The sequence below is a fragment of the Homo sapiens genome, chromosome 22 (genome assembly GCF_000001405.40).
Source record: "Homo sapiens chromosome 22, GRCh38.p14 Primary Assembly".
In the NCBI taxonomy this organism is placed as follows: domain Eukaryota; kingdom Metazoa; phylum Chordata; class Mammalia; order Primates; family Hominidae; genus Homo; species Homo sapiens.
In genome coordinates this window covers 30,575,447-30,602,127 of record NC_000022.11, presented here as the reverse complement: position 1 = coordinate 30,602,127, position 26,681 = coordinate 30,575,447, and the positions used below count along the sequence as shown (strand labels likewise).

At 51.4% G+C, this 26,681-nt stretch overlaps 1 protein-coding gene across 4 annotated transcripts in view, besides 4 other annotated features; it reads left to right on the top strand.

Moving 5' to 3' along the window:
• Positions 1 to 25,503, top strand: part of PES1 (pescadillo ribosomal biogenesis factor 1) — a 30,389-nt gene extending 4,886 nt beyond the window's left edge. For 2 of the 4 annotated variants that reach the window (NM_001282327.1, NM_001282328.1), the window contains exons 3-17: positions 9,730 to 9,996; positions 12,858 to 12,937; positions 13,954 to 14,107; positions 14,733 to 14,842; positions 17,411 to 17,582; positions 17,674 to 17,763; positions 20,484 to 20,600; positions 20,720 to 20,794; positions 21,027 to 21,116; positions 21,427 to 21,557; positions 21,950 to 22,075; positions 22,193 to 22,377; positions 22,825 to 22,991; positions 23,130 to 23,291; positions 24,999 to 25,503. In NM_001282327.1, the coding sequence (NP_001269256.1) occupies positions 17,460 to 17,582; positions 17,674 to 17,763; positions 20,484 to 20,600; positions 20,720 to 20,794; positions 21,027 to 21,116; positions 21,427 to 21,557; positions 21,950 to 22,075; positions 22,193 to 22,377; positions 22,825 to 22,991; positions 23,130 to 23,291; positions 24,999 to 25,082 (1,350 nt within the window). In that variant the 5' untranslated portion in view covers positions 9,730 to 9,996; positions 12,858 to 12,937; positions 13,954 to 14,107; positions 14,733 to 14,842; positions 17,411 to 17,459 and the 3' untranslated portion in view covers positions 25,083 to 25,503. Of the gene's footprint in view, positions 1 to 9,729; positions 9,997 to 10,217; positions 10,319 to 12,857; positions 12,938 to 13,953; positions 14,108 to 14,732; positions 14,843 to 17,410; positions 17,583 to 17,673; positions 17,764 to 20,483; positions 20,601 to 20,719; positions 20,795 to 21,026; positions 21,117 to 21,426; positions 21,558 to 21,949; positions 22,076 to 22,192; positions 22,378 to 22,824; positions 22,992 to 23,129; positions 23,292 to 24,998 lie in introns of those variants that run through there. The other 2 variants (NM_001243225.2, NM_014303.4) reach the window with 2 other exon arrangements.
• Positions 9,596 to 9,675: an enhancer, noted in NCBI's record as "active region_18840". NCBI's record gives its function as "activates an Ori minimal core promoter by ATAC-STARR-seq in GM12878 lymphoblastoid cells {active_cell/tissue: GM12878}" and the evidence as "EXISTENCE:reporter gene assay evidence [ECO:0000049][PMID:35858748]".
• Positions 9,675 to 10,390: an enhancer, noted in NCBI's record as "H3K27ac hESC enhancer chr22:30987725-30988440 (GRCh37/hg19 assembly coordinates)". NCBI's record gives its function as "activates a minimal SCP1, AML or CMV promoter by ChIP-STARR-seq in primed H9 embryonic stem cells {active_cell/tissue: H9 hESC(primed)}" and the evidence as "EXISTENCE:reporter gene assay evidence [ECO:0000049][PMID:30033119]".
• Positions 9,896 to 10,195: an enhancer, noted in NCBI's record as "active region_18839". NCBI's record gives its function as "activates an Ori minimal core promoter by ATAC-STARR-seq in GM12878 lymphoblastoid cells {active_cell/tissue: GM12878}" and the evidence as "EXISTENCE:reporter gene assay evidence [ECO:0000049][PMID:35858748]".
• Positions 14,284 to 15,483: an enhancer, noted in NCBI's record as "BRD4-independent group 4 enhancer chr22:30982632-30983831 (GRCh37/hg19 assembly coordinates)". NCBI's record gives its function as "activates an origin of replication core promoter dependent on BRD2, P300/CBP, MED14 and CDK7 cofactors, and independent of BRD4, by STARR-seq in HCT116 cells {active_cell/tissue: HCT116}" and the evidence as "EXISTENCE:reporter gene assay evidence [ECO:0000049][PMID:35650434]".
• Positions 25,504 to 26,681: the final 1,178 nt, after the last annotated feature.

Genomic DNA, 26,681 nt, shown 5'->3' with positions numbered 1-26,681 from the left:
ATTTGGGTGGGGACACAGAGCCAAACCACATCAGAAAAAAAAGAAAAGAAAAGAAGGGGCCAGGTGCGGTGGTTCACACCTGTAATCCCAGCACTTTGGGAGGCCGAGGCGGGTGGATCACAAGGTCAGGAGAACAAGACCAACCTGATCAACATGGTGAAACTCCGTCTCTACTAAAAATACAAAAATTAGCTGGGTGTGGTGGCACGTACCTGTAATCCCAGCTATTCGGGAGGCTGAGGCACGAGAATCACTTGAACCTGGGAAGCAGAGATTGTAGTGAGCTGAGATTGGGCCACTGCACTCCAGCCTGGGAAACAGAGCGAGACTGTGTCTGGAAAAAAAAAAAAAAAGTTCATAACTTTATTTGTAACTGCTAAAAACCGGAAGCAGCCAAGGTATCCTTCAATGAATGCATAAACAAATTGCGGTACATCTATACAATGAAATATTGCATATATAAAAACAGTGATAAAACTAAGTGAGCCATTAAGCCATAAAAAGACATGAATGAGGCTGGGCGCAGTGGCTTACGCCTGTAATCCCAGCACTTTGGGAGGCTGAGGCAGGCAGATCACTTGAGGGGCAAGAGTTTGAGACTAGCCTGGCCAACATAGTGAAACCCTGTCTGTATTAAAAATACAAAAATGAGCCAAACATGGTGGTTCACACCTGCAATCCCAGCTACTCGGGGCTGAGGCAGGAGAATCGCTGGAACCCAGGAGGCGAACGCTGCTGTGAGCTGAGATCGCACCACTGCACTCCAGCCTGGGCGACGGACTGAGACTCCATCTTAAAAAAAAAAAAATTAGATCAAATAATCGTTGGCAAAAAGCATTAAGAGAGATAAAGAGGATGTGTCAGATTGTGTTTTCAAAGCTGTCTAACAATACCAGCTGTTCCACATGGTTTTCTGTAATTTTGTCATTCATCCATGAAGAGATGAGTCTAATTCCCCTCCCTTTGAATCTAGGCAGGTTTGTGACATCCTTGTCAGTAGCAGAATGCAGAAGTGATGATATATAACTCGAGGTCAGAAAAGAAAATGCAACTTCCACCTTGCTCACTTGAACACTTGAGCTGGAGTACTGAGCTGTCATGTAAGCAGTACAACTGCCTTGAGGCAGCTACAAACTGATCCACAAAGGTAATCCACATGGATAAACCCTGAGATTACCTTAAGAGAGAGAGATCGATCCAGCCAGCTCCCAGCTTTCCATACCCCTACTATTCCAGCTTTTATCGCATAAAAGATGTCAAGACAGAACCATTTAATGGAGCCCATCCCCAATTTTTTTTTGTTTTGTTTTTGAGATGGAGTCTCGCGCTCTGTCACCCAGGCTGGAGTGCAGTGACGCGATCTCGGCTCACTGCAAGCTCTGCCTCCGGGTTCACGCCATTCTCCTGCCTCAGCCTCCTGAATAGCTGGGACTACAGGCGCCCGCCACCACTCCTGGCTAATTTTTTGTAGTTTTAGTAGAGACGGGGTTTCACCGTGTTAGCCAGGATGGTCTCCATCTCCTGACCTCGTGATCCACCGGCCTCGGCCTCCCAAAGTGCTGGGATTACAGGCATGAGCCACCACACCTGGCCTTATTTTTATATTTAATAGAGACAGGACCTCGCTTTTTTGCCCAGGCTGGTCTCGAACTCCCGAGTTCAAGCGATGCTCACACCTCAGCTTCCCAAAGTGTTGGGATTACAGGTGTGAACCACCACGCCTGGCCAAGAGTTCTTTATCTATGTTATATAAGACTGTTCTGCAGTGAGCAGCTACATGCAAACCTACCCCCTGAAGTCTGAAGGAGCCGAGAGGCTGAAGATAAAAAACCTGACAACCTCAACTTGACACTGCAACCTCCATCTCCCTGGCTCAAGCAATTCTTGCACCTCATCCTCCCAAGTAGCTGGGACTATAGGCTTGTGCCACCACACCTGGCTAATTTTTTTATGTTTTAGTAGAGATGGGGTTTTCACCATTTTGCCCAGGGTGGTCTCAAACTCCTGAGATCAGGCTATCTGCCTGTCTCTGCCTCCCAAAGTGCTGGGATTAAAGGCGTGAGCCACCTAGCCTGGCCCTGTAACGTATTTTTTAAATTGAAAATGACCCAGGCATTTAATGAGCAGTTATTTAATTTAACATAAATATTTTAAATTACATGACAATTGTATTTATAAGCATTTATCATATATATTCATTTATTTTTGCTTTCATTTTCTTTTTGTTTTGAGATGGAATTTCTCTTATTGCCCAGGCTGGAGTGCAATGGCTCAATCTCGGCTCACCGCAACCTCTGCCTGCCAGGTTCAAGCGATTCCCCCGCCTCAGCCTCCCGAGTAGCTGTGATTACAGGCATGTACCACCATGCCTGGCTAATTTTTGTATTTTTAGTAGAGACGGGGTTTCTCCATGTTGGTCAGGCTGGTCTTGATCTCCCAACCTCAGGTGATCCGCCCACCTCAGCCTCCCAAAGTGCTGGGATTACAGGCGTGAGCCACCGCGCCCAGCCTATATTTTTCACCATTGCCTTAGACTAGTTATGAGAACTGAGATATTAGACAAAGGTAATCATTAAATTTGTTATTTTTACAGCCTGTGACTATCAGATGTTCACCTAAGAATCTTAAAATACGTACTTATTTTGTTGATAACTCGGAAGATTTCGCTGTTTCCTATTAAACTAGTTATATTAAATTAGTCATATTTATCAAAAAATCACACACAAAGGTCATTTTGGTTTCGGCTGGGTTTATAGTTTTACAATCTTTATGCCAAACCCCCAACACCCTTAAAGTATCTAGCAGAGACACATGTAAAAAAACTTTGACCAATAAACCAAGGCAAAAATGTATGTTAACAATTTTGAAGACATTTTTATTTTACCAATAACTTTTAAAACCAGTTTATTTATTAAAGATTTACTTGAGTCAGGCCAGACGCTGTGACTCATGCCTGTAATCCCAGCACTTTGGGATGCTGAGGCAAGTGGATCACTTGTCAGGAGTTTGAGCCCAGCCTGGCCAACATAGTAAAAATCCCATCTCTAACTAAAAATACAAAAAGTAGCTGGTCATGGTGGCACATGCCTGTAACCCCAGCTACTCAGGAGGCTGAGATAGGAGAATCGCTTCGAACCCAGGAAACGGAGGTTGCAGTGAGCCAAGATCGCACCACTGCACTCTAGCCTGGATGACAGAGCAGGACTCCATCTCAAAAAAAAAAAAAAAAAAAAAAAAAAAAATTTTACTTAAGTCACATAAACTTGAAAAATATATTTGGGCTTTCTTAATTTACGAGTATTTATTTTTAAGTCAACTTGGTACCATGTAGACACAATATACAACATATGTAAACACATCTAACCACATATATACACAAATAAAAATCTTACAGCTTTAGGCCGGTTGTGGTGGTTCATGCCTGTAACCCTAACACTTTGGGAGGCCGAGGTGCGGGGGTCACTTAAGGTAAGGAGTTCAATACCAGCCTGGCCAGCATGGCAAAACCCAACTTCTACTAAAAATACAAAAATGAGCCAGGCGTGGTAGCAAACACCTTTAATCCCAGCTACTCAGGAACCTGAGGCACGAGAATCACCTAAACCCGGGAAGCAGAGGTTGCAGCGACCGGAGATTGTTACCACTGCACTCCAACCTACTAAACAGAGTGAAAAAATAATTTTTTTTTTTACGGGTTTTACCTTAGAGCTCTAATCCTGGCATAGTACTGTGTCCGGAATTGGTGGGTTCTTGGTCTCACTGACTTCAAGAATGAAGCTGCCAACCTTCAAGGTGAGTGTTACAGTTCTTAAAGACGGCATGTCCGGAGTTTGTTCCTTCTGATGCTCGGATGTTTTCGGAGTTTTTTTCCTTTTGGTGGGTTCGTGGTCTCGCTGGTTGCAGCAGTGAAGCCATAGACCTTCCCAGTGAGTGTTACAGCTTATAAACGCAGTGTACACCCAAAAAGTGAGCAGCAGTAAGAGTTATTGCAAACAGTGAAAGAATAAAACTTCAACTGCGATCGAGACCATCCCGGCTAAAACGGTGAAACCCCGTCTCTACTAAAAATACAAAAAACTAGCCGGGCGTAGTGGCGGGCGCCTGTAGTCCCAGCTACTTGGGAGGCTGAGGCAGGAGAATGGCGTGAACCCGGGAAGCGGAGCTTGCAGTGAGCCGAGATGCCGCCACTGCACTCCAGCCTGGGCGACAGAGTGAGACTCCGACTCAAAACAAAAAAAAAAAAAACAAAACTTCAACTGCGTGGAAAAAAAACCGAGCGAGTTACCACAGCTGAGTCGGGCAGCCTGCTTTTATTCTCTTATCTGGCCCCACCCACATACTGCTGATTGGTCCATTTTACAGAGAACGGATTGGTCTGTTTTACAGAGTGCTGATTGGTCCGTTTTGACAGGGTGCTGATTGGTGTGTTTACAATCCCTGTGCTAGACACAAAAGTTCTCCAGGACCCCACTAGATTAGCTAGATACAGAGTGCTAATTGGTGTATTTACAAACCCTGAGCTAGACACAGGGTGCTGATTGGTGCATTTACATACCTTGAGCTAGATATAGAGTGTCGATTGGTGTATTCACTATCCCTTAGCTAGACATAAATGTTCTCCAAGTCCCCACAAGATCAGCTAGACACAGAGCGCAGATTGGTGCATTTACAAAACTTGAGCTAGACACAGGGTGCTGATTGGTGTGTTTACGAACCTTGAGCTACATATAGAGTGCTGATTGGTGTATTTACAATCCCTTAGCTAGACATAAAGGTTCTCCAAATCCCCACTAGACTCAGGAGCCCAGCTGGCTTCACCTACTGGAGCTCATACTGGCAGGACAGGTGGAGCTGCCTGCCAGTCCTGCTCTCATGCTCCCGCACTCCTCAGCCCTTGGGCAGTTGATGTGACCGGGCGCTGGGGAGCAGGGGGCGGCGCTCGTTGGGGAGGCTTAGGCTGTGCCGGAGCCCACAGCGGCAGGGAGGAGACTCAGGCATGGCAGGCTGCAGGTCCTGAGCCCTGCCCCACGGGGAGGCAGCTAAGGTCCAGGGAGAAATTGAGCGCAGCGCCGGTGGGCCGGCACTGCTGGGGAACCTGGCGCACTCTCCGCAGCGGCTGGCCCGGTGCTAAGCCCCTCACTGCCCGTGGCCAGCGGGGCCGGCCGGCTGGCTTCTCCGAGTGCGGGCCCGCCAAGCTCACGCCCACCCTTAACTCTAGCTGGCCCGCAAGCGCCGCGCACAGCCCTGGTTCCTGCCCGTGCCTCTCCCTCCACACCTCCCCGCAGGCTGAGGGAGCCGGCTCCGGCCTCAGCCAGCCCAGAGAAGGGCTCCCACGGTGCAGCAGCGGGGCTGAAGGGCTCCTCAAGCGTGGCCAGAATGGGCGCCGAGGCCGAGGAGGCACTGAGAGCGAGCGAGGGCTGTGAGGGCTGCCAGCACGCATCATCTCTCAGTACTACAGAGTCATCGGTTTATAAAAGATGGTTGGGTCCAAATTATTTTTGACAAAACTGGAACTTGTTTACATGGCTAAACTTTATTTATCCTAATAGGTAATCTAATGGAGGCTGTGAACCAAAATTTTGGGTAGTTTCCATGGCAGTTTGATTTTTAAAATCTTTTTTTTTTTTTTTAAGTTTTAAATGGGGCCAGGCATGGTGGCTCATGCCTGTAATCCCAGCACTTTCAGAGGCTGAGGCAGGAGGACTGCTTGAGCCCAGACGTTGGAAACCAGCCTGGGCAACATAGCAAGACCCCATATCCATATACACACGCACACACACACACACACTTGAAAAAACAATGAGTTTAGGGTTAAATTTTTAATGCTTATATTTTAGCTGGAACCTGGCTGAACTATATAGAAAAAATCTCCAGGTAGCCTTGAATTAGTAACACTGTAAAGAGTTTTATCTCAACACCAGTAGAAAAGTCAACAGACTTAAAGCAGGTAGAAAAATAAAATAGAGAATGTAGAAGACTCTACATGTTAACTCTGTAACTGCAGGTTGACCATTTGAGCTCTGAATTTTCCTTGATGTAATTTGCCCACCAGTTTAAAAATGTGCACAAAAACGGGCTATAATATGTAGCCAGCTAGCGTCCCAAAAAAGCTAGCATGTCTTTGAACTTTCCATGTGGTTTTTAAACATGTAAGCCAAAGGGTTCCTGAAGGTGGTTGGCTAGAGACTGTCCCGTTAGTACTAAGCACCCCCTATAATTGCACTTCCCTTACCCAGGTGACCCTTTGAGAGTACTCTTAGCATAAGCACCCTCACAAAATCTACGAATCAGCTGAGTTTGACCGGATTACACCTCCACCCCTGCCGGTAAGCCCAGGGTCCACAAAATGTTCCCTCCGTGGTCTGAATGGAGGGAATCAGGGAGGCCACCTTTAAACCCAGGGTTGACAAAGACATTCCTTGCAGGGTCTGGATGCAGGGAACTGGGACCAGGCACTGGGAAGGACTGGGAAGGCCCCTGCCAATGCAGGGCTGACAGGGGAAGGTTCCCTCCAGGGTCCACCAATGATGGGAACCCAGCTGGGAAGAAATAAAGTCTCCAAGATCTTTTTTTTTTTTTTTTTTTTTTTGAGACACTGTCTCACTCTTGTCGCCCAGGCTGGAGTGCAGTGGTGCAATCTTGGCTCACTGCAACCTCCATCTCCTGGGTTCAAGCCATTCTTCTGCCTCAGCCTCCTGAGTAGCTGGGACTACAGGCAAGCACCACCTTGCCCGGCTAATTTTTGTATTTTTAGTAGAGACGAGGTTTCACAATATTGGCCAGGCTAGCCTCGAACTCCTGACCTCGTGATCCACCCGCCTTGGCCTCCCAAAGTGCTGGGATTATAGGCATGAGCTGTCGCGCCCAGCCAGTCTCCGAGTTCTTTAACCTCAAGCAGGAGATCTTGGATTCTGATAGGACTTACCCAGACCCTTTCCCAGAGTGATCAGGAGCAAGGGGACTTTGTTAAAGAGTCCTTGTTGGTGCCAGGCATTGTCCAGGGCAACAGGAGGAAACAAATCTGGGGTGACTTTAGAATCTCACTCTCATTATGAGATATGTTAACTGAAAAATCATGAGAATCTATAAATTTGGACAGGAGACTTTTTATTTATTTGTTTGTTCGTTTGTTTATGTAGAGAGCCAGTCTCTCTATCACCCAGGCCAGAGTGCAGCGGCGTGAACACACCTCACTGCAGCCTCAACCTCCTGAGCCCAAGCGATCCTTTTGCCTCAGCCTCCTGAGTAGCTGGGACCACGAGTAGCTGGGACCACAGGTACACACTACCACACCAGCTAATTAAAAATAAGTTTTCCTTTTGTAGAGATGAGGGTCTCACTATGTTGTCCAGGCTGCTTTCAAACTCCTGGGCTCAAGTGATCCTCCCCACTCAGCTTCTGAGTAGCTGGGACTACAGGAACCTGGCCCTATGCCTGGCTGTGTTTTTTTTTTTTTTTTAAGGCGGGGCACAGTTTAGTAGAGACAAGGTATCACTATGTTGCCCAGGCTGGTCTAGAACTCCTGAGCTCAAGCAATCCTCCCACCTTTGCCTCCCAAAAGGCTAGGATTACAGGTGTGAGGCACCGTGCCAAGCTAATTTTTTTTTTCTGAAACAGAGTCTCTCTGTTGCACAGGCTGCAGTGCAATGGCACAATTTTGGCTCATTGCAACCTCTGCCTCCCAGGTTCAGGTGATTTTTCTGCCTTGGCCTCGCTGGTAGCTGGGATTACAGGTGTGCATCACCACGCCCAGACAATTTTTGTATTTTTAGTAGAGATGGGGTTTCACCATATTTGCCAGGCTGGTCTTGAACTCCTGACCTCAGGTGATCCACCCACCTTGGCCTCCCAAAGTGCTGGGATTACAGGCGTGTGTCACCATGCCCAGCAAATTTTTGTTTTAAATGAAACAATGTAAACATACTTAAAGCAACAACTACTTTATGCAGTTAGTGTTGACCCCATCTTACAAATGAGGAAGAGAGGTACCCTGAGGTAAAGTGGCTTGTCCGAGGCTTAGAGGTAAACCAGGTGTGTCTCCCTGCAGAGACTGGGCTTTTCACCGTAATGCTGATGGAGGCTTGGTATTGCACAAAGCATTCTGTGTGTGGGCAGCCCTAATGGTTAAAAACCTCTTCCCTTTATGGAACAAAAATCTACCTGGCATTATCCTGGAGTCACATAACATTCTTTCTACTATACGTTAGGTAGTGGAATGTGAGTTTAGCAGAGGACTCTGAAACCAGACTGCTTGGTGAGAATCTATTCTGCACAGCTTAGCAGCTGAGTGATCTTCAGCGATCACTTACTTTCCTGAGACTTAGTTTCCTCCCTTGTGAAATGTGGTACCTATATGACGGCTATTTTGAGCTGAAATTACAATTGCTTCCCTGAACATCCCCACCTGTGTCTTCCAGTGACCCCTCAACATTAATGTGAGCAAAACAAGGCTCAACTTTCTGCAAACATGGTTCTATCTGTGCAGGACGAGCTAGGTGATTTGTGAGGGACAGGGTGAGATGACTGCCCAGGCCACATGCTCACGACACCAGCCCTGTTCCTGTGTTGCCCTCATGAGCCAGCCACTGCCACCCTCTCCAGTCCATCCCTTTCCTTCTTCTTCTTTTTTTTTTTGAGATGGAGCCTCGCTCTGTCGTCTAGGCTTGAGTGCAGAGTGCAGTGGCACAATCTTGGCTCACTGCAACATCTACCTCCTGGGTTCAATAAATTCTCCTGCCTCAGCCTCCCAACTAGCTGGGGTTACAGGTGCCTGCCACCACACCCGGCTAATTTTTGTATTTTTGGTAGAGATGGGTTTTCGCCATGTTGGCCAGGCTGGTCTCAAACTCCTGATCTCAGGTGATCCGCCTGCCTCAGCCTCTCAAAGTGCTGGGATTACAGGTGTGAGCGACCGTGCCCGGCTTCATCTCATTTTTAACTGTGGAATTGCTGGGTTTTAAATTTTAGCTTTAAATTAGATAGTGCAAGTCACATAGTTCAAAACAAGTATTCACCAGTGCTTAACGTCTGTCTCTGTGTAAGTTCTAAGACCAAGTCCTTGGGCCAGGTCACATTCACAAGAGCCTCAAATTTAAACTTTTGAGATCATCTTCGAACGAAATTTGGAATTTGGAAAAAGGGAGAAACGTTTAAAAAAAAAAAAACCTCTTAAAATTGCATCTACTTCCAGACTGCACCATCTCAAGGTGATGTGACTATTTGTATAAATCTTGGAATTATTATTTGAGGAACACTTACAGAATTTATGTGTACAAATTAAAAGCTCGAATATGTTGAATGTACATTTAATTTTATTTATTTATTTATTTTTGAGATGGAGTCTCACTCTGTCGCCCAGGCTGGAGTGCAGTGGCAAGATCTCGGCTCACTGCAACCTCTGCCTCCCAGGTTCAAGCGATTCTCCTGCGTCAGCCTCCCGAGTAGCTGGGATTACAGGCGTGTGCCACCATGGCCAGCTAATTTTTGTATTTTTAGCAGAGACGGGGTTTCACTATATTGGTCACACTGGTCTCGAACTCCTGACCTCAGATGATCCGCCTGTCTTGGCCTCCCAAAGTGCTGGGATTACAGGCGTGCGCCACCGCTCCCAGCCTTGAATGTACATTTTAAATATACCACGAGTCCACCACTAAGGCTCAGAAAATATAAGTGGCCTCTAGGATCTCTATACCTCCGCGAGGAAAAATGTCTTCCTTTTTTCTATTTTAGCCGCATAACCGCGAATGAACCAAAGAGAACCCGAAGCCGGTGGGAACTCAGCGCAGTCTCACCCTGCCCCTCGGGAACCGCTTCTCAGCAGCGGCAGCCGAAGTCTGACGACGCTTAGCAACCGTTACCTTGACAACGCAATCCTATCGCGCACCATGGAGTGCGGCGCCCCTCTGCATCCCAGAAGGCACCGCGCTGTCCCTAAGCCTTCCGCCCCTCTCCGTCCCAACATGCAACGAGGCTCACAGTCAATGAATCGTCATCAGGGTGATTACAGAAAAGCCTGTATATCCACGTTTGTTTTAACACTTAAAGTGTTTGTAACCATTGTGAGCGGGAAAGATCTGGAAAGAGTGTTCTCAGTGATTTTTTTCAGACTATAGTTTTAAATCTTGAGGAGGAAATCCCCATCTTTCCCTGGACTTGTACAGGCATCTCATTGGGCAGCCCGCACAAACAGACAGCGTGGGGTGGGGAGGGTCCTCGGGGTCCTTGGCAGGGCACGTGCGGGAGGAAGTGGAGCTCCCTGTACGCGCGGCCCTAGTCGGCTCCTCAACGTGGAGCGATGGGAGGCCTTGAGAAGAAGAAGGTGATTGGGAAAGACGGTGGGGATTCCCGAGGGGTGGGGTGCGGGGGCGGCAGAGCATGGGGTCGACTCTTTTCCCGGGCTCCGTCTCGTGGAGACTGGAAAGACGGGATCGACGTGACCGTAATCAGCTGCGAGAAGGGGTCCGAGAATGGACAAGGATGGCAGTATTCGTTTAGTGAAATCCGAGAACGAACTCCAGAGTTCTTTCTGTGGAGAGGGCTGTGAAAGAGAGTTGAACTTACCAAGCGTAGCTTCATTCCAAAAGCAGGCCGAGCCGTGGGACCACTATTTACCGAAAGGGTGATAAACATTACGTAGAGCTCACCGTTACTGCACCGTTACATTAGTTGGTTAGTGTTGTCTTGGAAGTTCTCTTCGAGGCATAACATTTCGGCTGAAATGGGAAAGATCAGAACGTCTTGGATGGGTTCTGGGGCATGGGAGTGCTTAGCGAGCAGGCCTGACAAGGGAAACCAAGTGCCAAGATCAGTAGGCAGGGAAGGCTTGCTGTGTGTAAGGAGTTGGAAGGACATTAGGATGACTCGCATGTAAACCAAGAAAAGAATGGCATCTGATAAGATTGGGGTTGGACACGTACTGTATCGTGCAAGGCCTGTAAGCTTGGATTTTATTCTAAGTGCAGTAGGAATAGTGTAGAGCTTGGATTTTATTCTACGTGCAGTAGGAAAAAAAGGAGGAGTAACACGATTAGAGTTTTTCAGGGAGTTCTTGTGGCTGTATGGAGAATCGGCCCAGTGACATGAAAAGACTGGGAAGGGAATGGGAATGAGGAATATATAGTTGGCTTAAGTGTTTCTTTCAGAGTGAAAGTTTCTATTGCCAGTGTTCTTAACCCAACACACTACATTGAGTATCCAGTGCTAGCCATCGGAACTGCAAAGATACAAGATGGAAAACCTGCCCTTGAGTTGCAGATGTAGATATGTAACAAAATCGTTACAGTTTTTAAAAGCTGGGTTTCAGAGCCAGAATCAACAAAGATGAGTCTTTGTTGTGGGAAGGATTGTCTTGTGTGTAGTAGGATATTTGGCAACATCCCTGATCCTTTACCTACTGGATACCAGTAGCACCCAGCAACCAAAAATGTCTCCAAACATTGCTGAACTCTCCTCCCCCCAGCACATACCCAGGGAGTACCCCATTGAGAACTATTTATTCCCTTAACATTTATAAGGATAAGCATGGTGACAGAGATAAGTGTGGCATAAGGTAATGGAAAACGCTATAAATGAAAACTCAACTTCTTAAGGCAGTCTGAAACTCATCTTTATACCTCCAAGACTTAGCATGGGCCTAATACCTAATAGACAATTAATGTCTAAAGGAAAGAATGAATGAAGGGTATGTTTCATGACTATGATGTTATTAGTAAACGTACCTGTGGGAGACTAACAGGTTTGTCTCTTTAGAGCTGAACCTAGCCAAAGAGGCCCCTGCTGTCTTAGTCCAGAGGAAGATCTTGTTTGGAAACGACATGCTTGTTAGCTTGCAGGGTATTTGTTACAGTGCACTGATTGTCTCTATCGAGGGATACAGAAGTGTGAGGGATACAGAAATGTGGGTGTGAGGCAGCATCTTAGCACCACAGGCATCCAGATGGTTATACAAGACAATAGGCTTCTTAGGGGCAGGTAGAGACCAGGCTTTTTGTCTTTATTGCCTTCATAGCATCTAGCTTAGTGCTTTGACCATAATAGAGGACCTGTTATTGTCTGTTGAATGAATGAATGAGGAAGGGGAGAAGCTGTGTGGCTTAGAGCATGCTTTTTCAGCCAGGGTAATACCACCCTCAAGGGAACAAAATTGGTTGAGGGGCAGTATCTTAGCTATTACAATGGTTGTGGCTCCCCAAGGACTACATTACATAAACAGACCTACAGTATATCTCTGGTATTAACATTTTATGGGGCATAGGGAAGAAAGGGTGATGGGTGAGGGAGGAAGGGGGTGTCTAATAAGTCTCCTGGTAGTGGTGAAGAGGTTATAATGAGGAAGAAAAGAAGGGGAAAAGATTAGGAACACTGGCTTAGCTATTAGGCATTCAGGTACTGGACTCAGACCTGAGTTTGAATCCCAGCCCCAACTCTTAAAAAGCTGTGTGCTTTTTAAGAGTTGCATGGGTTATTTTACGAGCCCGTTTTCTCCTATGTGAAATGGACGTTCGGACAGCACCTACATCACAGGGTTATGGGAATTAAATGAAATGTGTGAAAATCACTAATTGTAATGGCCAACATTTAGAGCTAGTGCTAAGCACTTGGCACAGCACCCTATCCGTAGCAGCCTCGCAGCCCTCAGCATCATGCAGATGTATGTGTTCCCTATGCTGACAGCCGCAAGGATGGTACAGGAGAGCTCATCCAGGCAGGTCGGCTCCTTCCCTGCAGTGTTTCCTCTCCTAGACTCATCTCAGCCACTTATCCAGAGTGATAGTTGCCTCTGGAACTAGGCATGCCCAGAGTTTGATGTCAGTCACTACAATCATTGCTAATGGAGAATTGTTTTTTTCCTCTCCCAGTATGAACGAGGCTCGGCCACCAACTACATCACCCGGAACAAAGCCCGGAAGAAGCTCCAGCTGAGCTTGGCTGACTTTAGGTGAATATAGAGGGACCGTGGGAAGCCCGGGCAGTGAATTGCACATTGAAAACTCAGCTGCATCCCTGTCTTACCTGAGTTGCCATACCCATTCTGGGGTTCTGGTATTCCTTCTCTTTCTCACCGCCCTTGCTTTAGTGAGTTGTGTTTGCTAGGTGTGGTCCAAGGGAAAATGGAGGAGAACTGAACTGGATTGTCAGGATGGGCTAGCTGGGCTGGGATGGGCTGGGCTGGGTCCCTGCCATCCATCCCCTCCTATCTGGTAGAAGAGACCCCTGATCCTGCAACTAGGGGTTCTCATTCCTCATAGAGTCAAAATAAGACTTCACTGTGGCCTGTGGGCCCTGCCCTCTGGCGGTCCCTGGCCTTTGTGGCTCACCTGGCCCACTTTTTTTTTTTTTTTCCCCGGAGACAGAGTCTCACTCTGTTGGCCAGGCTGGAGTGCATTGGCGTGATCTCAGCTCACTGCAACCTCCACCTCCCAGGTTCAAGCGATTCTCCTGCCTCAGCCTCCCGAGTAGCTAGGATTACAGTTGCTGGCGACCGTGCCTGGCTAATGTTTGTATTTTTTTTTTAGTAGAGATGGGATTTCACCATGTTGGCCAGGCTGGTCTCCAGTTCATGACCTCAGGTGATCCTCCTGCCTCAGCCTTCCAAAGTGCTGGGATTACAGATGTGAGCCATCACGCCTAGCCACCTGGTCCACTTTTATTCCTTCAAACACACCAGCTGTTTCCAGCCTTCTGGACTTTGTCTCTTTTGTTAGGATGCTTCTCTCCTTTTTATGGCTGAAATGTTGATATCTCAGAAAGGCCTTTCTTAACTCCCCTAGAGACTCGCAAGTCTGCGTTTTTGTTTTATGATTGTGACTGTCAGACTCATGTACTAGGATGTGAGGTCTCTAAGGGCAGGGACCCCATGTTCCCCATTTACTGTTGTTTTCCAGGCCCAGCTGTGGCCAGTGCTCCCCACCTTTACCCACATAACTGACATAACAGATGGCCTCTGTCTTCCAGGCGGCTGTGCATTCTGAAGGGCATTTATCCCCATGAACCCAAACACAAGAAGAAGGTTAACAAGGGTTCTACAGCAGCCCGAACGTTTTACCTTATCAAAGACATCAGGTTTCTCCTCCACGAACCCATTGTCAACAAGTTCCGTGAATACAAGGTGAGGTCTGGGCTCTAGGGTCTGTCAGGTTCTCATCGCAGCTCTGTGACCCACTAACTAACTGTGACCTTGGGCAGATTGCCTACCCTCTCTGAGTAAGCCTATACAGAGGGCAGGGTGAGCCTCAACAGAAGTACTTGGAGGGAAGAGGTCGGTTAGTTTGGAGGACCTGGCCCCAAAACAGGACTCCGTTGCATTTTTCTGGGTGTCTCAGTGTCACACACAGACCCACAGCTTGTTTCATGCTGATATAGTCTGGTGTTGGCAATGGAGGCCAGCCTTTCTCATCCTGTCAGTGTCAGGTCACTTGGCTTCTGTTCTCAGTTGAAAAACGGAGCTGCTTTGCTGTGCCATCCTCCCATGTAAACGTGTGGAGTTGGGACATCTGTGCATTGTCAAAAAGGGTGCCTGGTCTAGCTCTGCTGGTTAACACACCAGGCTTGGTGCTCCTTGGAGTTGGCTCTTTTGCTCATCCTGGGCAGAGGGGTCAGTGACACAGGCACATAGCCGTGGCCAGCTTCAGGAGGCATGAGAGTCCTTCTGCCCTGCGTTTCCATCTTCCATGGAAGAAGTTGTCCAGGAGACCTGAGCCTCAGCATTGAGGTGTTTTCTTTCTTTCTTCCAGGTGTTCGTCCGGAAGCTCCGGAAGGCTTATGGGAAGAGCGAGTGGAACACTGTAGAGCGTTTAAAGGACAATAAGCCCAACTACAAACTCGACCACATCATCAAGGAACGGTGAGCCGGGCTTTCCTCAGGACACTGCTGTTTCTTCATTTACTGCTGGTCTCTGCCCTAGCACCAGGGATACAATAGGGAATAAGACCAAGACCCTGCTCAAAGAGCTTGCAACTTTTTCAAGGACACAGACCAAAAACCAAGCTAGCAAATTACTATAATGATTACGAGGTTTGTAGTTACAGGCTTGTCAGAGGGGTCTCTGAAGGGAGACGTTTGAGCCAGCCCGCGGAAGCACAATCCAAGCAGAGGCCATGGCAAGTGCAAAGGCCCCATGGTGGGAGAGCCCCAGGGCTCCATGAAGGCACGACGGGTACCTGGTGAGACGTGGGAAGCATGGCTAGACACCTCTCGTCTGAACTGTTCCTTGCCCAGCCTTCTCAGACTCAGTTCACTGCAACCTCCACCTCCCAGGTTCAAACAATTCTCCTGCCTCAGCCTCCTGAGTAGTTGGGATTACAGACACCACCACCACGCCTGGCTAATTTTTGTACTTTTAGTAGAGACTGGGTTTCCCCATGTTGGCCAGGCTGACCTCACGTGATCTACCCACCTCGGCCTCTCAAAGTGCTGGGATTACAGGTGTGAGTCACCGCACTCAGCCTAAATCAGCAATTCTTAATCAGGGGTGATCTTGCTTTTCCAGTGGACATTTGGCAATGTCTGGAGACTCTTTTTGGTTCTCACGACTTGGATGGACGTGCTATTGGTGTTGAGTGGAGAGAGGCCAGTGATGCTGCTAAATACGCTATAGTAGTCCCCCACAACATAGAATAGTCTGACCCGGAATGTCAGTAGTGGTAAAGTTCAGAACCCCTGGACTGGTAAATGTCTGTCATCTTTGGAGGCTGATGGCCCAGGAACACTGAGCTCTAGGATGGCTCGGGTTGGCTTCATCCAACCTGGCTGTGGGCTGTCACAGGAAGTGCCCTGGCCTAGGAGCTAGACAGCTGGTGTTCGCATCCCAGCTGTGTGGCACATGAGCTGGGTGGCCAGAGGGTATTTCCTAGCCCGAGCAGGTCCCCATCTTCAGAAGAGATGATGGTAGTTCCTGTCCTGCCTGTGGCACACAGTGTTAGGTGAAATAAATGAAAAAAAGCCACACACGAAAAGCAAGTGCCTGGATTCATACACACACCAAGTGTGGTGATGTGGTTGTGGTGATCTCATACTACACCATCCCCAGCTCCTTAGCTAGAGCCAGAGCTTAAGAAAGAAAAGCAGTTGGCCCAGAAATGCTGGTGCTGTTTCTACAGAAAGCCTGGGTTCTTGGTTTTGTCTGTGAGGTGGAGAGTGAGGAAACTACAAGGCACCAGAGGGGGCCAGTTGAGGCCGCCACCTCTGCACCAAGAAACCAGACAGCTGTTCTGCTGCCTCATCAGAGGTCTCTGCAGGCCTTTCTTGCATCTTGGCATGGGTTTGAAGACCTGGCAGACTTCTGACTCGCAGCAGTGAGTGATGCTATCTGGGGCTGGAAGGACCTTGGCAATGTCTGGTCTCATGGATTTTGGAGTCTTTTTTGAAATAGCAGAACCCATTCTTTTTTTTTTTTTTAACCCCTGCCCCCACTCCCCCCAACCCCTGACCAGAACCCATTCTTCAAAAGGAAGCTTCTTCTCCTTGAAGACTGGGCATTTGGAAAAAAGAAAATAGAAAAAGTAACAAAAATGATTTTTGAAAAGGTAGCTTCCTGGAAGGCAGTTTGGATGCCAGCGTCTCTGGCAGCTGCTGTGGCTGCGGGAGAGAGGCTTGAAGCTCTGTCTGTCCGCTTGGGCTCAAGGTGTTTCTAGGGAGCTGCAAGAGCCCAGTTGTAAATGAAGAGTCTGGGTCACAGCTCAGACCGGGACTGGAATCCAGGTGTCGTTACTTGTGGTTCCGTGTCTTCTCTGTGACCCATGCCTCTGTCCCTCAACAGGGCAGCCACACAGTGCCCAGGGTGGCTCATCCTTGTTGGCTTCGTCATTTACCAGAGGATTCCCCGAAACACATTCTGCTCTGGCTCTTCCTGGACCCAATTCCCTGGGTCTCATTGGTTCTGCCAACTAGACATGTCCAAGGGATGAGAGGCATGGAAGACATAACCTACGCTGGCGACCGGTGGCCAGGCCCAGTCATAAGTGCTGCTGAGGGGAAGCAGCCCCCACCCCGCTCCCTGCTCCACCAGGGCAGCTTCGGTTTCCCATTTTCCATTTTGGACCTCCCTGTAGAGTGTCTGTGCACTAAAGTTTCCACCTTCAAAGAGAGTCATAGAGCCCCTGACTCCGTCTACCGTCGTGCACCACAAAATCCGCACGTGGGTCAAGGCTGGGTCTTTGGTGAGCATTCGGTGTCTTGAGGACCCCCATCGGGACTTCTCTGGTCCTCAGAGCCTAGTGGGCGCATCCTGGTTAAGTGGTTCCTCCTAGGGGCTGTGGTCAGCTGTGGGGAAGCTGCTCCTGCCAGGTCAGGAGGTGGCAGTGGTGAGGCCTGGCTTGAGGAACGGGGCATCTGGGGTGGGATAAGGAGATCAGGGTCCCCCTTGGCACCCACGCTGAACAGGCCCCATGTGCTGCCTCACTGGCCATGCAGGTATCCCACGTTCATCGATGCCCTGCGGGACCTGGACGATGCCCTCTCCATGTGCTTCCTGTTTTCCACCTTCCCGCGGACTGGCAAGTGCCACGTGCAGACCATTCAGCTGTGCCGCCGGCTCACTGTGGAGTTCATGCACTACATTATCGCTGCCCGTGCCCTGCGCAAGGTGAGCCTGGGACTGCCCGGCTGGCATCCCACCCTGCCCCCTCTCCTGCCACCCCATGGTCTTCACCCAGATGTCTCCTCCTCTCCCCTAGGTCTTCCTGTCCATCAAAGGCATTTACTACCAGGCCGAGGTACTGGGGCAGCCCATCGTGTGGATCACTCCCTATGCCTTCTCCCATGACGTGAGTGTGCCTGTCGGGAGGGGACGGGCTTGTGCTGCCTCCTAGACAGATATGGATGTGGAGGAAGGGGGATTTTGCTGTCCATGGAGTTTAGCAAGTGCTGGGTTCCCAACTGTTGATGAGGGGTGAGGCGCGGCAGAATGTGCCACACAGCATCCTCATTAAGAGCGGGAGCCTAAGCTAGCCCTATGGCAGCACCTGCCAGCTGCGTGCCCTTGGACGTGTTCCTTTCACCTCTCTGTGCCTCAGTTAACAGTGTCTACACCCTTAACAGTGCCTGGTGCTTGGCCTTTTAGGGCCGAATAAACAGTGAGAACAGCTATCAGGGCCATACCCAGCCTGCATGCCCAGCACCATGTGGTGCCACCACGGGGACAGTGGCAGAGCCCTGCCCTCGAACCTACTGGGCTCCTCGTCCCTGCTTTGCTGCCGATAGCTGCCAGACCTTGGCCAAGTGGCCTTGCCTCCCTTCTCTGCTTCCCCCTTCCTGCCTCTCTGCCCCACAGGACTCGGGGACTGGGAGAGAAGGGGAACGGTGAGCACAGGAGAAGCACTTAGCATGTGGCACTGTTTCCTACATATATTGTTTTCTTTTTCTTTTAAAATAGAGATAGGGTCTCACTATATTACCCAGACTGGTCTGGAACTCCTGAGCTCAAGCAGTCCTCCAATCTCAGCCTCCCAAAGTGCTAGGATTATAGGCGTGAGCCACAGAGCCCAGCCTTTTTCTTTATCTCTTTGAAATCCTGGGAATTGTTGGCAGGGATCCACTGAGAGAAACCCTGGTTTTGCCCTCTCATGGAGCTTCTAGTGCCCCGCAGGTGGGCCAGGCTCTCCTGCCTCCCTGTGCTGGTGGCCTGCATTTAGCCCACCTTGCTTGATCATTGAGTGGGAACTGGTGCCTTCAGCGGAGAGCAGCCGCTGCCGGTCCAGTTAGCACAGTGGCTCTGCTGCCCAGATTATCAGGGGCTCCAGGGGGAGCTGGGACTCTAGGTGCCCTGGGCTGTTACTTATGATCCCTTGTGGGTGGGGTTGCAAGGACTGGAACCTACCCTGACTGGCTGTCTGGTGGTGAGGCTGTGGCCTGTTTGCGAGTGAGAGGCGGGCTTGGCCCTCAGCAGTCCCTGTTCCCTCTCCCCCTGGGGCACGTGTGGGTGGCCCTTCCTTCTTCCCTTCCCCAGCCCTCCTCTCCTCCTCCTTCCTTCCTGCCTTCCTCTTGGTCCTTCCTTCTCTCTGATGTCCTGCCCCCATGCTGCTCAGACTGGTCTTTGTGTGTCCTCCCTGGTGGTGAATAGGGCCCTGTGGTGGGCCGGCCTCCACACAGCTGGCCCTGGGGGAAGGGAGCCAGCCACGCATTCCCCTTTCCTCCTTGGCCAGTTCACTGCCGTTGCTTCCTCTCAGCGGATGGGGAGGACTGGCACTAGGTCGTAGCGGAGCCCAGTTGTGCCCCTCCTGTGAGCAGCCAGGGTTGGGTTCATAGCTGTGGAACTCAGGCTGGTTGTAGGGGCGGGGTCTCCCTGCTCAGTGCTGGGCTGTGGGAAATGGGGTTGGTCCCCAGATGTGCCTGTCAGGGGCCCTCACAGATTCTCATGGAAGGATGGCGGTGTGAGTGAGGGAACAGGCAGGGCTTCTCTTGGCCCTATGTGCTCTCACAGCACAGGTCACTGTCTGGCAGCAGAATAGCGGAACAGCTAAGAGTCATGGGCACACCCGGCACCCATGGTGATCACTACTGATTTTCACGTTGCTCGGAACATCCTGCCGCGTCCTGGGGGCCAAATGGGCTGGCTCGGCCTCCATGGTTTTAGGGGGCAGAACTGCTCAAGAGTTGTGATTCTGTCTGGGCCTCAGTTCTTTGCCCTGTTTTGCCCTATTAACTGCTCCAGGGCAAAGATGAGCCTTCTGTGTCCCCTGCTGCTGGGATGACAGCTCTGTGCCTTTTCCCTGAGCAAAAAGTAGTTTTGTCTGCTGGCCATTTCCCAAGAGCTCCCTGGGGGCTGAGCCAGGCCAGCTGCCAGCCTACCCTGGCCCCTCGGGTCATGCCTCTGGACCTGGCTTGGGCCCAAGGAGGGAGTCACTCAATTCTGAGTGTCCATCCCAAGGTTCAGAGGTGGGACTCAGTGGGCGGCCTGAGCCCCATGCTTCCCCCGCCCCCGCTGGGCCTGGCCTTCCCAAGGCACCTTAGTCAGCCAAGGTTTTGCCAGCCCCTCTGGGCTAGAGACAGCGCTGGGAGCACCACCCTCTGGTGCTCACACGCTAGCCCAGCAGCAGACATGCAGCAAAGATTGTAGACTAGGTGATGTAGAAGGCAGGAGCTCTGGCCAGGTCGGAAAGTGGTCTGTCCGAGTCTGAGCTAGACCTGAAGGAAGTGGGAGAGCCGGAGCAGGGAGGGGAGGGCCAGCCAGTCTTCGGAGCAGCAGGGACCAGGGTCCCTTTTCTCACTCTTTTATGGGGGTCTGGCACTGACTTCCAGGATGCGTCTAACCCTTGGGACCCCTATCCAGAGCCTCACTTGTGGCTGGGAACACTTGTGGCCGGAACGCCCCTGGTGGGAAGATCCATGCCACCCCTTCCCTAGGGCAGCGCCTTAAGGGCAGAGCCTTCTTGAGGAGCTTGGGGTCTTTGGGTAGGTCAGACACCCTCCACTCTGTGGGTTGTCTGTCCCTCCTTTGCCCCCATCCCTGCACCCACACTGCTCATGCATCTCTTGTGTTCCCCAGCACCCGACAGACGTGGACTACAGGGTCATGGCCACCTTCACCGAGTTCTACACCACGCTGCTGGGCTTTGTCAACTTCCGCCTTTACCAGTTGCTCAACCTCCACTATCCCCCGAAGGTAGGACCCCAGCCCAGTGCCTTCTGCTCGCCGTGCAGGGGCCACAGCCCTTCTCTGTCCACACAGAGGCGAGGGGCTGTGGCTGTCCTCTGCCTCCTGACCTTCCCTTTGCCTACTAGCTCGAGGGTCAGGCCCAAGCAGAGGCAAAGGCCGGTGAGGGCACCTACGCGTTGGACTCCGAGAGTTGTATGGAGGTGAGAGGCTCCAGGAGCATCATCCGGCATCTCCCAAGGGAGTGGTCTCTGTCCCCAACACCTCTGGGGGTCTGGTTCAGAGTGGGGGTGGTTATGGCTAGGTGGGTGGTCTCAGCCTGCCCTTGGAACCCACACCTGCTGATGCCCAGGACTGTCACTGCTGCCCCTCCCCACCCTGGCCACATGCCCGCATGAGGTCCCCCACTGCAAGCAGCCCCCTTCTCTCCTGTAGAAACTGGCAGCCCTCAGTGCCAGCCTGGCCCGCGTGGTGGTGCCTGCCACAGAGGAGGAGGCCGAGGTGGATGAGTTTCCCACCGATGGGGTGAGCACTGCACTGCCTTCTGGCAGGAGGGCTGGGAGGGGTCGTGTGGGGGGTTTCCCAGCTTAGGGACATTTGCATCCTATAATTAGGTGTTATTTGATGGTCAAAGCAACTGAGCAGAAGAATGGGCTGAATTGTCATCAGAGTTTACATAGGAGGCAACAGAGCTCAGGAGTGGGGCCTTGGAGTTTCCTTTGAAGGCAGGATCCAGGATCTAGAAGGAAGCTGGAGTGGACGTTATCTCCAGCCCTGGCCCTCCAGTGGGGGTGGGCAGCCCTGGTGGTGCGAGGCCTGGCCCCTTTCTCAACAGGAGATGTCAGCGCAGGAGGAAGACCGCAGGAAGGAGCTGGAGGCGCAGGAGAAGCACAAGAAGCTTTTTGAGGGCCTGAAGTTCTTCCTGAACCGAGAGGTGCCCCGTGAGGCCCTGGCCTTCATCATCAGGTAGGGAGGCTCAAGGGCCCGCTGACAGCATTGGTTCGGCCATGCTCTGGTCTGGGTCCTGCCCTGGTGCCCATCGGTAACATTGGGATGGTGTCAGTTTCCACTTCTTATGAAACAGTGTGTGGAAAGTGCTCGGCACCGCACTGAGCACATAGGAAGTGCTCAGCAGAGGGCGGAACTGCCGTCATTTTATTACTAGCTTAGCACAGAAGGATGGGCAGTGGGCAGATCTCTGCTGAGCCAGGATTGAAGGATCCTGGGGTGAGGAGGGGGTAATTGTGTCCTAAGAGGGTGAGTTTATGGGCTGGGTGGCCAGCAGGTCCCAGGGAGCTGAGTCTCAGGACAGGCAGCTCATGTCTGTGTACCCGTGTGGGCTCTCCCTGTCCCTGTAGGAGTTTTGGTGGGGAAGTGTCCTGGGACAAATCTTTGTGCATTGGGGCCACCTATGACGTCACAGACTCCCGCATCACCCATCAGATTGTCGACCGGCCTGGGCAGCAGACCTCAGTCATTGGCAGGTAGGCCCTCAAGGGTCCTCGTCCGGATTTCTGGGTATCCTGTCTCAAAGGCCCTGCGATGCAGCAGGACCCTGAGTTGCCCTCTGTGACTCGTTTTTGCCTGCCACTCTGCGCCAGGTGCTACGTGCAGCCCCAGTGGGTGTTTGACTCAGTGAACGCCAGGCTCCTTCTCCCCGTGGCAGAGTACTTCTCTGGGGTGCAGCTGCCCCCACACCTTTCACCCTTTGTGACCGAGAAGGAAGGAGATTACGTTCCACCTGAGAAGCTGAAGCTGCTGGCTCTGCAGCGGGGAGAGGACCCAGGTGAGCGGGATGGGACTGGGCTGGCCTTGACCCCTGGGCCCACGCTGGCTGTTTCCCTTAGCTGCCAAGGTGGAAAGCTCCAGGGAACAGGCAGTAGGAGCAGAAAGCCCTTTGAAGTCACCTGTAGAATAAGGCTTAGGAGAAGGGACATCTACCTCCTGGGGTCAGGTGTTATTTGACGTTCAGGATGACTGAGCAGAAGAACATGCTGCATTGTCATCAGAGTTTACATTGGAGGCGACAGAGCTCAGGACTGGGGGTCTTGGAATTTCCTCTGATGGCAGCTGGGCTGTGGGGAGGTGCAAGAGAGGGCCACAATTGGGACATCCCTGAACTGCCCATGGCTAAAGACGGCAGGGTCAGAGAGGATGGGGCCTGGGCCTGTTGTCACCCTGCCAGAGAGACAGTAGATTCCCAGGGCATTCAGAGGACATTGGCTTTCTCTAGGAAACCTGAATGAGTCAGAAGAGGAGGAGGAAGAGGACGACAACAACGAAGGTGATGGTGATGAAGAGGGAGAAAATGAGGAGGAGGAGGAAGATGCAGAGGCTGGTTCAGAAAAGGAGGAAGAGGCCCGGCTGGCAGCCCTGGAAGAGCAGAGGATGGAGGGGAAGGTAGGGGGAGCTGCAATGCGGGGCTTGGCCTGGGAAGCAGCCCTGCTTGGTGCCTGCTCTGGCCTAGAAGGTCAGGAGCCAGAGGACTGTGGAGGTCGGGAGAACCTGCCCCCATAAGCACCCTCCTTGTGTCCCCAGAAGCCCAGGGTGATGGCAGGCACCTTGAAGCTGGAGGATAAGCAGCGGCTGGCCCAGGAGGAGGAGAGTGAGGCCAAGCGCCTGGCCATTATGATGATGAAGAAGCGGGAGAAGTACCTGTACCAGAAGATCATGTTTGGCAAGAGGCGAAAAATCCGAGAGGTGAGTTCTTGCCACCCACTTGAGATCCAGGTGTGGCCACCAGACCCAACTGCACAGGTGAACTTATGTGGCTTGGGGCCCTCCTCTAGGCAGACTGAGGCTCTCCTAGCCTTTTCCTGAGGTTGCCTGCCTGGCCCAGCCCAGCCTTTGGGGCCCCCGACCTGGGCCAGTGTAGGCGTCTTGGTACTGCCATCTCCGGCCTGGGCTTTCCTTACGGCTTCCGTCCCACCCCGCATCCGGCTTCCTGAGTCTGCTGGGGTCTGCAAACAGAGCCTTCCCGGCAGACTCAAGGACTGGGGGCGGGGGTGGCGGGGGGGAGCTTTGTTAAACTTCTATCTGTTTTGTATTTTCTTGTTCATGAAGCCATATATGCTAATTAAAAATACAAACTCATGCACCCTGGAACCCTGTGATGAGTGATGCAGAAGTGGCTCACAGCCCTGCCCTTGGAATAGAGCAGCCTGTAGTAACAGCCCCCAGGTTTCTCTTGTGCCCATAATGACCCGTGTTTGGGAGGTCATGCTATAGGTTGTTTTGAGATATAATTTGTTTTTTGAGACAGAGTCTTCCTCTGTCACCCAGGCTAGAGTGCAGTGGAGCAATCTCTGCTCACTGCAAACTGTGTCTCACAGGTTCAAGCAATCCTCCTGCCTCAGCCTCCCGAGTAGCTGGGATTAGGGCGTGTGCCACCACACCTGGCTAATTTCTGTATTTTTAGTAGAGACGGGGTTTTACTGTCTTGGCCAGGCTGGTCTTGGACTCCTGACCTCAAGTGATCTGCCTGCCTTGGCCTCCTAAAGTGTTGGGGTTAGAGGCATGAGCCACTGTACCCAGCCTGAGTTGTAATTTTCATTTAACCATAATATGGACTTCTCATCCAAAACCTGGCCTGTCCCCTGTGATGGGATTAGATTGTTCTCCAGTTTCAGTCATTCTCAGAAAACATCCCTGAGCATGTTCCTGCCCGCCTCTTAATGATTCTGCAGGCTAAATTCTTAGAAGCATAATTGCTGCAGTTTTGAAATAGTTATTGTCAAATGGGTCTGGGCATGGTGGCTCACGCCTGTAATCCCAGCACTTTGGGATACCAAGACAGGAGGATCACTTGAGGCTAGGAGTTCAAGACCAGCGTTGGCAACATATTGAGACCCTGTCTCTACCCCCCAAAAAAAAAAAGAAAGGGCTACGCATGGTGGTGCACACCTGTAGTCAATCCCAGCTACTCCGGAGGCTGAAGTGGGAGGATCGTTTGAGGCTGCAGTGAGCTATGATTGTGCCACTGTGCTCCAGGCTGAGCAACAGAGAAAGACCCTGTCCCTTTAAAAAAATTAAAAATATATTGTCAGATGACCCCGGAAAGAAGGTTCTTCCTGTTGTACCCCTTTCCACCAGCTCCTGGTGAAGGTTCTAGTGGCATCCAGCTTTCCCAGGTGGTGTAGGGAAATGGGGCAGTTGCCAAGGCTCCTTCCAGCTCTGGGAGTTTAGGATTCTCTTATCTCGAGATTTGTGGGCCCATGAAATAATGTTGTTAAAGCAGGGCTAGCGCATGTTTTCTCACCATGAAGTGGGTCAGGTAGATTTTTTTCCTGTGAGAATTTGTGACCTTTTCTTGAAGCTCTGCTTTTAAGGGATATAGCTTTGAGTTCTGTGCCCCCCACCCTCCCTTCTACACATACCTCAGCCTGACCTTCGCCTTCCCCCTCACAGGCCAACAAGCTGGCGGAGAAGCGGAAAGCCCACGATGAGGCGGTGAGGTCTGAGAAGAAGGCCAAGAAGGCAAGGCCGGAGTGAGTGCCTGCGGCCCCTCACAGGGCTGAGGCCAGCCCCTAGCAGCTGGATGTGGCAGAGGCAGGCCAGAGGACCTAAGTGTGATGGACCAGAGTCACTTCTCCTCCTCCTTTCTCCAGCCAGCCCTGACCCCTCATGCTCTCTGGCTGGGCCAGTGGGCAGCCCTCGCTTCCCTTGGATGGAGCTGCCCTGCTGGTGCCTGGTCAGAGAAGAGGCCTCTGTGCCCAGCCTGATTCTCTGCTCCCAGGAGCCAGTGACATGAGGTGCAGAGGCCCACCCAGCCCCCTACCTACTGCCCCCATTCATCCTGGCTTTCCACAGCCCCCTCCCACACAGTTGGACCCGTGATTCTCAGGGTGCTGTGATGGGGTGAGGGTAGGGGGAGCATTTGTTATTAAATGACTGGACTTTTGTGCCAATTGCATTTTGTGTCCATGAGCCTTCCTAGGGTTGGAGGAGGCCTACCTAGCACTCTATGCTGCAGGCTGGGCCAGCCCTGGGTATTTACTGAGACAGAGCTGGGCACTGCTCAGAGCTCTCTGGATGTCCAAGGACCCCTCCAGGTCCAGGGATGCCAAAAGGTAGGTGCAGAGGTTCTGGACCTGGGCTTCACAGCCTGTCTGACCATGGTTCACATTCTAACCCAGGCATTTTCCCTCTGCACCTGCTTCCTCATGTGTCAGTTACTGGTAGAGATTCTGTTCTTTGAAAGGGATGTGTTGAGGGTTCTGTGATAACTTTATAGTCTCAGACCTTATGGACTTGGTAATATCAGGTGTGTGGTAAGTACTTGGTAAACACCAACTGATTTATATCACTTCCTGCTGGACTCGGCCCAGAAGGTAAAAGCCAGAACCGGAAGGATCTGTGGGTCTGCGGTGAGGTCCTGCCCTCAGCTTGCCTTGGCGCGTTGGCAGAACCGCTGAGTACCTCCCAGCGTAGGATTCCGCAGCAGCTGCACTTACGGTCTGTGAGGCCTGCCTGACAGCTTCCCCGCTGACCTTGGCAGTGTCCCTGCTGACGCCCATTGGGATATGCCTTTGCCTGGAACCGCCAGTGCATCATGATGGAGCCAGGACCACAACCTGGGTCTCCCAGTGCTCACTCAGCCCCTCCCAGGACTCACTTCCCGGGGTGAGTGCTGTCGAGGGTTGGGGCCACGCTGAGGAAGTGTGGGTTTGGAATGGCTCTACTTTCCCTGAATCTAGGCACCTGAGGGCCTTGCCCTCTGCCTCTCACTGTTTGCTGGCTGTGTGGGCAGAGAATGTTTTTGTGGCAGTGGATGTAGGTCCAACCTGTGCAGGGGGAAGGCAAGAGCTTGGGCAGGCTCTGGCCTGGGGAGCAGAAAACCTAGGGCTCCCCCTCTCAGCTGGGACTGGCTGTGGGTGGAAGGAGAGGGCTGTGTGCCATTCCCACTCTGTCATGCACACGGCGATGGGAGGGAGTGAGGTTGCCTCCAGAGGCTGGGACAGAGGGTCAGGACCTCTGGAGCCAGAGCCTGCAGCCCCGGGAGACAACTCAGGCCTGTCTGGGGAACTGTGCATCCAGGGCCACACGGCTAGAGCGCAGGCCCATCAGATACGGAAAAATTCCTGGCAGCCA